Below are 15,624 nucleotides of genomic sequence, written 5' to 3' on the forward strand. Positions count from 1 at the left end.
AGCTGAGAGGCAGGCGGGGTCAGGGAGGAGGCAGGCAGTCGTTAACTCCCCACCTCCCTCCAGGCTCCCCTCTGCCAACTGCCGCCACCGCCACCACAGCAGACTCTGACCTCGCTGAATCACCTGGGCCTCGTGTTCCATGACGTTCAGGAAATACCTGGCCTTCCTCCCTCAGGTTTCATCTCGTAATAACTCCCAGCAGAAGCAGACTCACCTTGGCACAGCACTGGGGATGGAGTTCTGATGTCACAGGCCCCTGGGGTTAGCCTGCAAGGGAAAGGAGCCCAGAGGAAAGCTTAGTGGCCCAAGAGGCCAGAAGGGGAGGTCAAAGTCACAGTTTATTCCAGGGAGGTGCTCCATGAGGGTCCCCCCAAAGGGATCAGGCCTGGACATGGGGCACTTCATACATCCACCCGCAGCTGAAGTAAGGAAATCGAAGACCATCTCATTAAATTTGCAGGGAACATAAGGAGGAGGGGAGAAGGGACATTGCCTTCTTTGCACAGTGGCTGAGATGTCAAAGAGTCATTCTAAAATCAGAAAAATGACTTGTCAAAAACAAGCTGACATGCAATAAGGACAAAGAGAGGTGGCCCACTCGAAAATCTACAAAAAGCTAAGGACAAAAAATGTGAATAATGGGATAAACACACAAAAGCCCAGGAGGTCAGATTATATCTCAGCTCAAATGTGCCTTTGTAATAAAACGCTATTGTAAAACAAAAGAGCATAAACTCTAACATAATTTATGTGCATTTATGTTAAAAGAATTTAAGAAATTAAGAATAAAAGAATTTACCAAGAAATAATCATTCTAGTGCTAACAATCCAAACTTTGGAAAGGCATGGGAGAATTAGACAGGGTCTGTGAACAGGAAACAAAAGTGGCAAAGAGATGGAAAGTTCCAAGAGTGAAGAAACGGTAACTCATTCAAAAGCATTCAACACATTCAAAAGTGTTCACGCTACACAAAGGCATGTGCGAGGTGGTTCGGTCCTGAGAGCACACTCGCTGTTCTCGGGAATTCTAGGCAACATGGTGCTGATTTCTGTCTAACATGGGTCTTTCTGGACTTTATCTTAGGAATTTAGTTAATAAAGCACTGAGATAATATTAACAGAAGTTTCATTTGCAGAGTGGTCCCACTAGCCCTGCCAGAAACCCACAAAAACACTGGTGACTGGGCAGTCACAACCAACTCCCCTCTCTCTGTGACAGCAACACTCAGCAGACATTCATGGCACCCGCTGGACTGCAGCATGATGGAAAACCTGAGCACTCATATGACAAACAAGACGAGGTCCACTCCAGCCTCGCAGAAGTGAGTGGTAATAAAGGAAGCTGCAAGAGTATACGGTAAATTCCAACCAACATCAGGGGCCTTGAGGATGGACAGGACAACTCTCCACTTTGGCAGGAAGGCAAAACATGACTGGCAAGACCCTTTCATCTCCAGCAGCCACAGAGCAGCCTGAGATTGTCCAGAAGCCCAGAAGCTGCTCTGTCCAGGGACCTGCCCCGTCATCCTCCCAGGCGAAGTGAAGGCCAAATAGCCCAAGAGACGGCCATGTAGTCCAGCTGCCGACCTCTTGTTCCATCTGGCCTGACTGCTGACTCTGAGCATGTGGTCCAGAACCTCCCAGCCTGCCCCCTGTTGAGTGAAGAGTTTGGGCCTAGTCCCTTCTCTCCATTGTCCTCACACAGCTTCTAAATTCCTGCCACGGAGTTGCAGGGGCCAATCTCAAGCTACTGCTAAGACAGATGAGACCCTTGCTCCCTTGCCACCTGCAGGGTTCCCGCTGAACCTTGCTGCTTTGTCTCAGAGGATCCTGGGTCTGCACACGCGCAAACAGCAGCTGGACTTCGGCAGCTTCCATTATGAAGGGAGGAGCCACGAAGAGGGAAGGAGGGGGCAGCTTTGGTTCCTACATTCCAGAAAACATCAAAAACACATGCCTGATGCACATGACTTCATCCATCCTCTCTCCACCCACAGGAGAAGGGTTCCTAACACCAGCCACACTGAACAGATGAGGGAACTGAGGCACAGACTGCTCACAGGGAGCTTGGAAGGCCCAAGATTTCCTGCAGGCAATCTGGCACCGGAGTCTCTGCTCTGAACCATGCTGCCTGCTGGCATCAGGTGAGCATGGCACTCATTGACTTACTGTTCAAACCTAAGGTGCTTCAGTGTGAATTCATTAATCTCTCCATTCATAAAAAAGTCAAAACAAATGAATAAAAACATTTATCAAGTACCTGACTTATGCCATTCATTATGCTGGTAAGTGGAATCTTTTATGTGAAATGAATACCTGTTGAATGCCACTAGTTTTAATCCTCACAACCAATAAGGTAGGTAGTATTAATAATTTTCCCATTATTATTATTATTATTATTATTATTTGAGACAGAGTCTCCCTCTGTCATCTAGGTTGGAGGGCAGTGACATGATCACAACACACTGCAGCCTCAACCTCCGGTGCTCAAGGGATCCTCCTTCCTCAGCTTCTTGAGTAGCTGGGACCACAGGTGCATGCCGCAACATCTAGCTAGGTTTTGTTGTTGTTGTTGTTGTTGTTTCTTGTTTTTTGTAGAGACAGGGTCTCATTATGTTATCCAGGCTGGTCTCAAACTCCTGGCCTCAATGAATCCTCCTGCCTTGACATCCCAAAGTGCTGGGATTGCAGGCTTGAGCCACTGCACCCAGCCATAAATTTTCTCACTTCAGAAAGAAGGAAACGGAGGCTCAAAGAGTTCAGCTATGAATCCCACTTTGCTTGGACAGTGATTCAAACAAAGGCTTGCTGGGAAGAGCCAGCCCCTCAAAAGGCTGACAGAAGAGAGTTTAATGAAGAGATGATTTACAGAGGCCTGGGGAGGCATAAACAAACTAACTAGGGATGGCAGAGCTGGAAGCCGTTTCACCCTGAAGCCTGAAGGGGCAAAGGCAGAAAGCGGTGTTCTAGCAAACCAGGGAGAGCTAGCAGCAGGGCATGGGGCTGCCTAACTGGAGCTGGGGCCCCAGAAGGACCCACCACTGCCAGCAGGGGGAGAACAGAAGAGACACCCTCACTTCTCTCCCTTCCATCCAATGGCCAAGCCCAGCTAAGAAGCAAGAGGGCAAGAGAGGGGAACAGGGACTGGAGCAGGTCACAAAGAACAGCTTCTAGGGGTCTGCACAGGGCAGAGAAGGACGAAGAACGAATGGGGACGGGAAATAGCTGGAGACCATGCAGCACGAATGGTGAAACATGGAGCCAGGATTGGGAATCACTGCACAATCCAGCTTTTCCCAGTGAATATAAGAGTGCAGAGCACTCAGTGTTAAAAGATAAGCCTGATGTGACTCTGGACCCCGCAGACTAAAGACAGTATGGACGGTTCAGGAGAACATTTTCAAGTAATGCATAAACCATCTGTTGTCCTGCCCTTTCCTTTGTACACTAAGGTGGAGGAGACATCGCTGTAACCTACAGCCTCCCTCTCCCAACCTGGCAATACCCCAGGGGAACAAATGAATGAGAAGCTGTGGGAGTCATTTCTGTAGCCATTTCTCCCATCCTGATGCCGCACGGCTCCAAACCCAGAACTAAATTAAGATGCAGCGCCACAGTTCTTGGCCTGGGAAATTTGGCATAATAAGCATTCCAGGTCACAAGCACCTTTTCATCTTCTTCTCTGCGGAAGCCCCTCTTTTTCCAACATTATGTCATACAACTCAATTGACACGGTCCCCCGCCTACAGACATGCCGGTGTATTCAGCAGAGACGTGAGACTTTGCTCAGCCACTGCAGAGGGAGAGCCTGCACCTGGGAGGCAGGGAGCCCTGCAGGAACGAGGGGAGGAAGAGATTAGGAAGCACGTGCTCTCCTAAAGAGAACAGCCACTGAAGATGTCTAACAGAAAAACGAGAGCTCCTGGTAATAATCACTTTAGCATCGATCAATTATAATTCCTCGATTAGATCACATACTGCTCATTACCATTAAAAAACAAAACAAAACAAAACCCTGACTTTTCCATTAGAGTCAGAGCAGTAGGTTTCATTTTGATTGAAAAACTCCAACTTCAAGAATGAATGAACGCATTCCAGCCGAATCAAAGCCTGAGCTGAGGCTGCAGACATTTTGTTTCCTCCCTGCCTCTACCCGGGGCGTCATCTAGCGTCCGCCCTTAGGTACTACACTCTCCTGCCAACGTAAGCCTTTTACTCCAGAGTTGGTTTCAGTAGAAAATCATGAGACCTGACAGGAGAAAAAAAAAAACTGGCCTCAATGATAGATATTTTTCAAAAGCGGTTGAGCAATAAAGACTTCCCATTTATTGGATTTCACACATGATTTTGCTTGAGCCAAACCAAAGACTCATGACTCCTAAAAAACAATGAATAGACAGAGTACAGAGTGCTTGGGCATTTTTCTCAGGGCTCTCTGTTCTTCGGAAAGATGTTTATGTGCAAAAATAAAAACCTGACTGATTTACATACGGAATAGGAACACACATTTTTCAAGGTGTGGTATCTTACAAGTAACATTTATTTGGACCCCTCTTAGGGCTGAATTTTACCCCTCTCCCCACCCCCCCCCAAAAAATCCTGTTGCCGTCTAGTGCCTCAGAATGTAACTGTATTTGGAGATAAGAGCTTTACAGAGTTAATTAAGTTAAGATGAGGTCTTAGAGTAGGCCCTAATCCCATCTGACTGGTGTCCTCATACAAAGAGGAAATCTGGACATAGACAAGTGCATGCACAGAGGAAAACCCATGTGAGCACACAGCAAAAGGCAGCCAAGGAGGCCCTGGAGAAACACGCCCGGACTACATCTTTATCTCGGACGTCCAGCCTCCAGAACAGTGAGAACATCTATGTCTGTTGTCTAAGCCACCCAGTCTATGATATTATACTATGCCTAGCAAACTGATATACCCCCCAAACTCCCCCCACCCCCTAAGCTGGGCAAATGTTAGGTGACTTTGATGCTGAGAGTGCCTGAAGCAAACTCTTTATCTGCTCTTTTTGTACACAAGGACTCTTGAACCACTCTTGAACCCGGAAGTCTCTGGCAATGGCTTGGGGATCCCACTTTGCCTACTCCTCGCCCCCGTCAATAGGGGAGTTGTTATCTCTTAAACCACTCCGGGAACCTCTCCTCTCTGGGTGGAGGTTAAGGGGACTCAGTCGGGGAGTTAAGTGACAAGGGTGCCTCTGGCAGAGCCTAGGTGTGTAAGCTTTGGCAAATGACCAGGCCTCGCTGAGCCCTGATTTTGTCCTCTGTAAAATGAGAGTGATCGGATTCCTTGGAGCACGAAATGCCTTCAATGTGGGGCTTAGCACGGGTCTGGCTCACAGTAACTGCTCTCACGCTCCACTAGCCACTCCTTAGCAGGAACGTGGGCACGAGAATTCCCAAACTTCCTCGAGTCAGTGTTCAGAACCCCGCCCTCCCTTTATCTTCAAAGGAGAAGGGAGAGCAGTGGGTTACAAGGGTCAGCTTTTAAATACCCCTGCTCTCCCTTGACCACAGACCCTGGGGAGTTTCCCCAGCTAAAAACGAAGTTTAGAAAATTGCTTGCAATGACCCATGATTTCAAGGGCCCCAGTGAATGACAGATCTATTGAGGATAGGGCCCCCTGGCTGGAAATTTAGAAACATTTTGTTTTTGTAAGAGGAAAAAAAGGGCAGAGAGGCACGAGGGCTGCAGGGGATGGCTCTGGAAGGACACTGCAGCGAGGCTGCCAGACTCCTTGGAACCGCAGCGCCGACGCAGCCATTTCCCAGGGAGATCAATCCTCTGGCAGGTCCATTTCCTCCGCCGCGCGGGCGGCTGCGGGAGGCGGCGGCGGCGGCGGGGGTGGCGGGAGCCATTAGTGACTCTGTGACCCCGTTCACCGAGCGCGTCCCCGCCCAGGTGCTCGCTGCCCGGCGCCGCGCCGTCCACCCCCGGCCGGGGCAGGTCGCGGGGCCCAAGCTGGTTCAAGCCCCCGTCGCTCGTCGCCTGGCTCTGCGCCAGGCCCCGTGCCCCTGGCTGCAGGCCGGCACCCCGCGAGCCGCAGCGCCCAGGCAGGCGAGCGCCGCTGCAACCTGCAAGCCTGAGTCAGCTCGCGGCGCGTGAGGCGCGCGCACTGCGTCCCCGCGCAGCCGTCGCAGCCAGGTGCTGGCCCGGAGCGCTGCGTCCCCAGACAGAAACCACGGCTCCCCCTGGCGGACACCGGTTCCCCAGCGCTGGGCTTTCCCCTTCAGTAGTTTAGGGGTAGTTTTCAGCTAAAGAAAACAGTGGACGCATTTTCCCATCAGAGGGCTTGGTGGCAGGATTCCCACAGGCTTAAGGAATGAAAGAAAGGAGATGCGATAGAAAGGAAGAATGGTAAGTAAGGCCCGGAAAGTGCAGGCAGAGAATGTTATGCACCTGCATGTCGTGAACCCAATGGCAACGAAACACTTACTTGTCTGCGGGGCAAATATAGCCGCGTTGGCTCTTTCTCCTGGAACCACGGATACTTTGGCAAGGAATGAATGAGTTATAAATGCAACGTTTTCTTAAATATATTAAATACATAACACTGACCTTCACAAAGGCTTTTATCTGGAATAAGGAATGAATAAGTAGGGTAATGAATAAGAAAGTTAAATTAAAGCACCATAGAACACAGTTTGAGTAACTTTAAAAATTTTTATTTACTTAATTTAATGAAAACAAATGATAAGTAAAATGTCTTTATATGAACATCTGAAAAAGCTTATAACTCTAAATGGCAATCCTAATCCAGCTGCTATAGTCAGGCTGCTATAGCAAAATACCCTAGACTGGTAGCTTATAAACAATAGAAACTGATTTCTCACAGTTCTTGGGGCTGGGAAGTCCCAGATCAAGGTGCCAGCTGATTCAGTGTCTGGGGAAAGCCTGCTCTCCGGTTCATAGATGGTGCCTCCTAGCTGTGTCCTTACCTGGGAGAAGGAGGAAGAGCGTTCCCTGGGATCTCTTCTATAAGGGCACTAATCCCGTTCATCAGGGTGACCTAATCACTTCCCAAAGGCCCTGCCTGCTAATGCCATCACCTTGGGAGTTCAGTTTTAACGTGAATTTTGAGAGGACACAAACATTCAGACCTTAGCAGCAGCCTTTTGTTTTATTCCCCGAATACAATGTATAAATGTGGAAATGCCTGGGAATTTCAGCCATCTAAGTCAGGCAGTTAGCTTTGTGATATGGACTCCCTCTTGTAACTTACTCTGTGTGGACATCTGTTCTGTTGATTGTGTACAGAGTTGAATTTCACAGAGGCTGACGCAGCAGTGATCATTCAGACATTTCTGAATGGACGGCAAAAGAAGGAGGAGGAGGAGAAAGTAAATACCAATGACTTACTTTGCAAAGTAAATTGACAGATCCTTTGTAGACCAAATCAGCAAGGTTGGGTTGTGTCCCTCTGGGCCTGGGTTTCCCACCTCTTGTAAAACCGGGAGAGGCAGAGAAGCTAAGACAGATGGTGGGTCTCCTGGGAGGCTCAGGGCCGAGCCGGCCTCAGAGGAAGTCTCTTCATCAGCACTCGGCAGCAGCAGCGTGGAGACTGTCCTCCACCCTTCCTGAAGCCACCAGCTTGGATGGCCCAGGCTTTCTTCCCATCACTCAGTTGTCAGAGCAACAGCTTCTGGAGGGAGCCAGCCCACGGCCCTGCCATTATGCTTCCCAGTGGCAGCTGGGGGATAGGGGGCAGTTAGGAGGAACAGAAACAGGTTGACATGGATCCAGGGAGCAGAGATGGCTCACAAGTGCAGATAGGGAGTGATCTTAAATCTACAAAATATGGATGAGAGACAGCATAGGCAACACTTTAGGCTTTGTGTTAAGCCTTTTAATTCAAGTCATCAAGTGTTTACAAGTGCTTTCTAATTAGAGACGACATGGAATAATTTGAAGACAAAGAATTACGTAAAGAAGATAGTTTGCTACCCATATGTTGGTGAAAGAATAACTTTTCTGATCTAATTGGGCCAAACCAAACTAAACACCTAACACCAAAGACAGCAAGCAGTATTTGCATTATTATTTAGCAAATATTAAAGAGCTCTTGTGGCCAAACATTCTTAGTGGAAGGGGTAAAAGTCCTAGCGTCTTTGTTTATATAAAGACATATGGAAGGATATTTTATAGTAGTGGTTCTCAAAGTGTGGTTCTCAGACCAACAGCAGCAGCAGCACCTGGGGACTTAGGAATACAAATTCTCAGGTTTTGCCCCAGAACTACTGAATCTGAAACTCTGAAGATGGGGCCTGGCACCCGTGTTTTAGCAAACCCTCAGGTGATTCCAATGCACTCTGAAGTTTGAGAACCACGACGCTAATCTTATCTTCGCTGCGGTGTCAGATTTAACTAGGTTTAAAAGAGTCAGAGTAGATCTAAAAGAATGAATTTAAAATAGGGCTTGGAATATAAGAAATAAAGCTTGAAAAAATACAAAATCGTAACTCCCAACTTCTATCCAGTGCAAGACGCCCTGCATAAATCAGCAATGGAGACTATGAAAAGAGTCAGATAGGACAAAAGGGGAAGGGACTAGGTTCAATGGAACCCAGAGAGAGGCTTCCGGTGATGTGCCACAGGGTTCTGCACTGTCAGGCCCACTAAACATCTCCATGATCACTGATAAGACTAAACAAATACTCACCAAATTTTAAAACTATGAATTTAATTAAGTTGACAGCAATCCCACCTGTTTGATAGGTCTGAGAAAATGTATTAGTCCATTTTCACACTGCTATAAAGAATACCTGAGACTGGGTAATTTGTAAACAGAAGAGGTTTAATTGACACACGGTTCTACAAGGCTGGAGAGGCCTCAGGAAACTTACAATCATGGTGGAAGGTGAAGGGGAAGCAGGGCACTTCTTACATGGTGGCAGGCGAGAGAGATAGCACACGCAGAGGAAACTGTCACTATTAAACCAGATCTCGTGAGAACTCCCTCACAATCACAAGAACAGCATGGGGGAAACTGCCCCCATGATCCAATCACCCCCAACCACCTCCAACCAGGTCCGTCCCTTGACACATGGGGATTACAATTCCAGATGAGATTTGGGTGGGGACACAGAGCCAAACCATATCAGAAGGTATCAACAGAATTGGAACTGCAGTTTAAAGCCAACAACGTGTCGTTTATTTGAGATAACATATTGTTGTCAGGATCAAGCAATCAACAGCACCAATGCAAATGAATTAGGGTCTGTAAAGACAATATATTTAGTAAGCACCAATGCAAATGAATTAGAGTCTGTAAAGACAATGTGCTTAGTAAGCACCGATGCAAATGAATTGGGGTCTGTAAAGACAATGTGCTCAGTATAAAAGTCAACAATTTGATGTGACCACCAGAAACACTAAAGAGATGCTAGGCTCTCTTACAGAAGTGTTGTCTTTCAAGGTAGACAACCTTGTGGTAGAGTGAAAAAAATCCCCTCCTCTCAACCGAAGATATCTAATCCCTGGAAACGGGGAATGTTCCTTTATATGGAGAGAAGGGGAAGGAGGTCTTTGCAAGTGTGATTGAATTAAGGATGTTAAGATGGGGAGACTATCCAGTTGGGTCCTAAATACAATCACATGCATTCTTATACCAGAGAGGCAGAGGGTGATTTGACCACACACAAAACAGAAGGAAATATAAAGACACAGCAGAGAGAGCTTTGCAGATGCTGGCCTCAAAGATCAGAGTGATGCAGTCAACGAATGTCGGCAGCCCCTGGAAGCTGGGAGAGGCAAGGAGCAGATTCTCTCCTGGAGCCTCTGGAGGGAGCATAGCCCTGGTTTGAGCTCCGTGATACTGATTTTGGAATTCTGGTCTCCAGAACTGTGAGAGAATAAACATCTGGTTTTTGGGGTTTTTTTTGTTTGTTTTGTTTGTTTGTTTGTTTGTTTGTTTTTTTCAGACAGAGTCTCACTCCGACACCCGGGCTGGACTGCAGTGGTTCGATCTCAGCTCACGGCAACCTCTGCCTCCCAGGCTCAAGCGATTCTCCTGCCTCAGCCTCCCGAGTAGCTGGGACTACAGGCACATGCCACCAGGCCAGGCTAATTTTTTGTATTTTTAGTAGAAACAGGGTTTCACCATGTTAGCCAGGATGGTCTCAATCTCCTGACCTCGTGATCCGCCCCCCCGGGCCTCCCAAAGTGCTGGGATTACAGGCATGAGCCACCGTGCCTGGACAATATCTGTTGTTTTAAGCCACTAAGTTTGCAGTAAATTTGTTATAGCAGCCCCAGGAAACTAACACAGGGTAAGAGAAGAGAGTTCTCTTTCATTCTTCACTTGATCATACTGTGTTTGGTTCTGAGCACCACAATTTGGGAGATACATTTACCAAAAGAGGCATTAAGAGTTTTCTGAATGGTACCAACAGGAAAAGTTAGGATTCCAGTTGTAAGATGCAAGGTGGCGAGTTTCAGCTTGAAATAAGGAAGCACTGTCTGGACAAAGAGGGAATGGACAGCCTCAGAAGATAGTGACTCCACCGTGGCTGAAGGTATTCAAGCAGAGACTGTGCAGCCATTTGTTAGGAATGTGAATATTGTCAAGAGAATTCAAGCCCTGAGGCAGGGTGGATTCAATGCTGTGTAAGATTCTTTGAACCCAGATTCTGAGGCTGGGTGATTTTGCGGCTGTTCTCAGCTCTCACTGGAGCCGAGGCAGACAGGAAGAAAGAAGGCACACAAGGTTGTAAAAGTCTGAGCGTGCAATGATTAAACCCAGGCACGGATGTGGCTTTGGAGATGGAGAGGAAGGAATGCATTTTTAAAAAGGTTTTGGAGGCTTAAGTAATCGGTCTTTGGCAGCAGCTTGAATTTGGAGAGAGAGCATTTATTAGGTGCCTCCTAAGAGCACTGCCCAGGAGCCATGGGCAAAATAAATATAAGATGGACGATGATCCCCAGGGAGAAAGCAGAGCACACATGTAATCGTTAGGAAATAAGGTTCCAATCATGATTTTTAAAATATGGATAAAAGGGTAGAAACAAAGGGATCAAAGAAGGCTAGATTCACCAGTTTTTGGTTTTGTTTTTGAAGAAGCAGGCTTTGAAAGATGGCCAAATCTAGTGAAGGGAAGAGCAAAAAGCACTTTGGAAAAAGGAGAAAGTGTGACATTAGCAGAGAGGTGCAGGAGGGGCATGAATATCTGGGGTTGAAGCATAACACATGCTGGTGAGGATTGTGTGGACAACAGTAGGGAAGGGTTTGTATCCTCATCGATAAGAGGCCCAGACTCAGATGCCAGGCTTGAAGCTAAAGTTGCAGGTCCAACCATGAGGAAGAGGTTGTGCAGGTGCAAAGCACACAACATGTGCTTGTTGTCACATTCAATTTGAAAGCAGCTGCAGTGTCCCAGAGAGGATCTTGGAGGCCTAGAGGTGGGGAAATGCTTCTTAAACAAAACCTCAAAAGTGCAAAGCATAAGGGAAAAGCTTAATGAATTTGAACACATCCCACTCAAAGGGTTCTATTCAAAGAAGAACAAGGTTATGAGACAGATGAAAGATTGGGAGAAGACACTTGCAATGTCAAAAATAACTAGGAAACAGTATCTAAAATATGCAAGAACCTTGCAAATCAACAAAAATGATGGAAACCCCCTCTGCTCAAAAAACAAAGGCTCAGAAGAGGCAATTTGCAGGAGAGGAAACCCCCCTGAATAACAGGCATGTGAAGAGATGTTTAAACTCATTAGTAGAGAAATACAAATTAAATAGCAATGAGATATCACTTCTATTCACTCAACTGGCCAAAACCAGGAAACTGGATAATGTCAAGTGGTGGTGGGGATGTAGGAATGTTGGAATTCTTGGGCCTTGCTGGGGGTTTGTAGACTGGTACAGCCAATTTGGAGAGCAATACTTCATCAAATTAAATGTACCTGTCTTCTATTTCCCAACAATACCACCCCTGGACATGAATCATAGAAAAAATCCTTCCACACACCCTAAGGGACCATGCACAAAGAGACTTGCTGCAGTTCTTTCTGTGGCAGTAGGTGTCATCCATGGAGGTGGAGGAGCACAAGTGAAAAAGGTACACTCTGAAATACTCTATCAGAGTTGGGAGGAACAGACGACATGTACACGCGGCAACATGAACGGAGCTTTGAAAGGATAGTGTTGAGTCAAGAAATGAGAAGTGATGAGCTAGAGGATGTTTGTGTGCCTTCAACGATATGTGCCTTTAAACACTTTGTTTTTGAGAGAACACATGCTGATAACTACAAACAGGGAACACATTAGAATAGTTGCCTGTGAGGGACAGGAGAAAAGAAATGGGGAATGGAGGCCAATAAAATAAATGCCTGCCTGCACACATGAATGAATGAGATGGGGCTCTGAGGAGCCAATGATCCAGTGCATCATGAACTGAAGAATGTGGTGAACCCAACCATGTGCTTCTAAGAACAAACTAAGCAGAACTCAAGTGCTATATCCATTGCCAAGGCAATTCTAGAACTGAGTGTTAAGTAGATGACTTATGAGCAGAAGTAAAGAAAGTGGTACCATGAAGAGTCTATTATGGGTTATAAACCTAAATATGACACAACATTTTGAATAAATTGTATACAGCTACCAAACTAGCAGGTCAAGGAATTTCGTTAGACATAGGATTGCATTTTTTAGCAAAGCGTTGGCATGATCCCTGTGAAAAGGATGACTACATGTGGGCAGAGTAAGTAGTACCAGATACACAGTAAAGGAACTAAGTCCAGTAAAGCTACCTAGCTTCTCTGTGCTTGAATATCTTTATCCATGAATTTGAGCTTCCAGCTCTAGATAAACTGCTTTCATGATTCCTCTTCTCTTGGGTGTCCCCTAGCCTCAGGGGCATGTAGTGGAACATTCTGTGGTCCAGCCCACAGGAAGCAAGGGCACCAGGGCTGGCTTCCTCACTAACTAGCTGTGGGACCTTGGGGAGTTCACTTAAGTTCTTTGGGCCTGAGTTTTCTCATCTCTAAAATTTAGGTGATTTAGACTGAAAGGTCTCTCAGCTTTATGATTTATGAAATATGAATAAAATAGTCTTAAACTTTTTATTAAGTCATGAACTATAAGCTCAGTTCAAAGAGCTTTTCTTGCTCCTGGACCATTTGAGAATAAGCAGCATAGCCGATCTGCTGCACCAGCCCCCTGAATATTTTCATGCATATTTCCTACAAACAAAGACTTGCATCTACATAGCCACGTGCCACCACCAACATAGGAAATTAATGTTGATGCATTAGAACCCTGGACCCCATTCAAGCCTCATCATTTGGCCCACTCTAGATAAAGGACCCGGTTCTGAATCACTTAGCAGGCTCTGTCTCCTTGGTCTCTTTCAGACTGGAAGTGTTCCTCAGTCTTCTCTTGTCTCTCAAGACCTCCACACTTTGAAGATGACAAGCTAGTTATTTAGTATAATGTCACTCATATTGGGTTTGTGTGACGTTCCCTTGTGATTGCATACAGGTTAGACATCTTCAGAAGAAATCTCACAAATGCAATGCTGTGTTCTCATTGCATCCTATCAGGCGGCAGGAAATTTTGATTTGTCCTATTACTAATAATGTTCACTTTAATCACCTCATTAGATTGGTGTCAGTCATGTTCTCTGGAAGATCACTCATTTCCTCTTTGTTATAATCATTATTTTATGAGGAAGTATTTTTAAACTATAGCTACCAAGTTATAGTTTAAAAATGGCTTAACTACCAAATTATAGTGTCTAATATAATTGTGAGAAAATAAATATCTGTTGTTTAAGCCACTAAATCAGCAGTATGTTGTGAGAGCAGCCCAAGAAGATGAATACATTATTTATTGAAAACTGTGAGATCCCACAAATACCTCCAATTCTAATCCAACTGGAAACTCTAGTTTTCCTCCTTTCCCTGACAGTGAGAAGCTGGATTCCTATTAACCTTAATATATCCCTTCATTTGACCAATCCCCTTGTAGGTGGCCAACCCCCATCCCCACAACCACGCACCCTGCACTCACACTGCCTGTGGGGACACCCACATCAGGCCCGCTTCCCTGGGGAGGTTCGTCCTCCTCTCCCTACTCTGATTCCCACCCTGCCAAGGACAGCCGTCACAGTGCTTGGGCTCCAATAGCCCACCCCACACCAGGCCGGCCTCTGCCTACAAGCCCTCCTTCATTGACTTGTGTGCTCCTAAGCTCACAAAGGAACCTACAACTATAAATACCTTGAAAACTCATAAATATTTTAACTTTACTTCCTAATACTTCCTACTTTAAAAATACCAGCTCCTTCCACCTCCATGGCATCAGATGTTCAGAAATTCTCCTCCTCTGAAAGGACACATGAGGATGGGCAGGAAACCTGAACGAAGGCAGGCAGTCGGTCGTCTCTCCCCTATTCCCTCAAAACTGCAGCTCTGGGGCCCAGCAGCCTCCTGGAGGTCTCCATGTAGACGGTTCATGAGCGCCTTCACTGACATGACCAAGCTGACCTTGGCCATCCTTGTCTCTGTGAGTGGCACCACCATCCACTCGATGACTCATTCCAAAAATCTGAAGTTATTCTTGATTCTCCTCTCTCCCGATAGCCCTTTCCACACGGTATATATTGACTTGACTTCTCAAACATCCTCCGAGCTTTCTCCTCTGTCCATCGCCAGGCTCCTCATGGGGCCTAAGCCACCGTCATCCTCCATCGAACAGCCATGTTCTCCCTGGCTCCTGGGTCCCGCCTGCCTCCCTGGGTGGCCATGTCATGGTTCGCAGCCATGCACCCCTTCATTCTTGCTGAAAGGACTGTCCCTCTCAGCCTCATCCACTTTGGCCTGGGCCTTGGGACTTGCTTTGGTTGCGGGTGGCAGGGCTCGTGGGCCCTGGTTCCACCTGTGTCAGGGGCTCCCCCTTCAGCCTGGTCCTGGGGAGAGAAGGCAGCTGGAGCACAGCAGGGCCCTTGGCTCTCCAGAAATGTGAGCAAGAACTCACATGTGAACCATGGTAGGCTTTGGTAAACCTGGGGACGTATCTTCCCATGGCAAAGCTTATTAATAAGTCCCCTAAAATCTATTCCCCACAGTAGCCACTAGTTATGTTCAAAAAGTAAATTCTGCCATGTCTTTCCCTTGCTTTGCACCCACCGTGGCTGCTGCAGTTCTCTGAGTAAGAGGCCAGCCCTGATGGGAGCTCAGGACACCTTAGCCCTCCTGCCACATCCACCTCCAGCCCGACCCTCTCCTCCCGCCCCTTACTCTCCCCTGGCACTCCCAGGTCTCATTCTGGTCTGCCGTCCCGGCGCTGGCTCTTCCCTTTGCCTGGGTTGAGCTGCTGCCACCTCAACAGGATGGCTCACCTCATGATTTAGACCTTAGACGGAACAGCCCTGCTCCAGAGAGGTGACCTGACCACCCGTCCCCACTGGGGCACCACCCAGGCACCACACCAGCCTCTGCATCACGTGCAGCGCACTTGTTCAAACCGCTGGTGATTTCACGTCTCTGCATATTTTACTTGTTTATCGTCTCCTCCTCTCACTCTGGGAGTGCAGGGAACCATCTGTCTGGGCACTCACAGGTCTCCTTGGGCACAGAGTGGAGCCTGGCATGCACCCAGCACTGAGTAGGTGAT

The 15,624-nt window shown here is 47.1% G+C and overlaps 1 annotated feature.

Moving 5' to 3' along the window:
- Positions 5,823-6,172: a silencer, noted in NCBI's record as "silent region_5226". NCBI's record gives its function as "represses an Ori minimal core promoter by ATAC-STARR-seq in GM12878 lymphoblastoid cells {active_cell/tissue: GM12878}" and the evidence as "EXISTENCE:reporter gene assay evidence [ECO:0000049][PMID:35858748]".

The sequence above is a fragment of the Homo sapiens genome, chromosome 13 (genome assembly GCF_000001405.40).
Source record: "Homo sapiens chromosome 13, GRCh38.p14 Primary Assembly".
In the NCBI taxonomy this organism is placed as follows: Eukaryota; Metazoa; Chordata; class Mammalia; order Primates; family Hominidae; genus Homo; species Homo sapiens.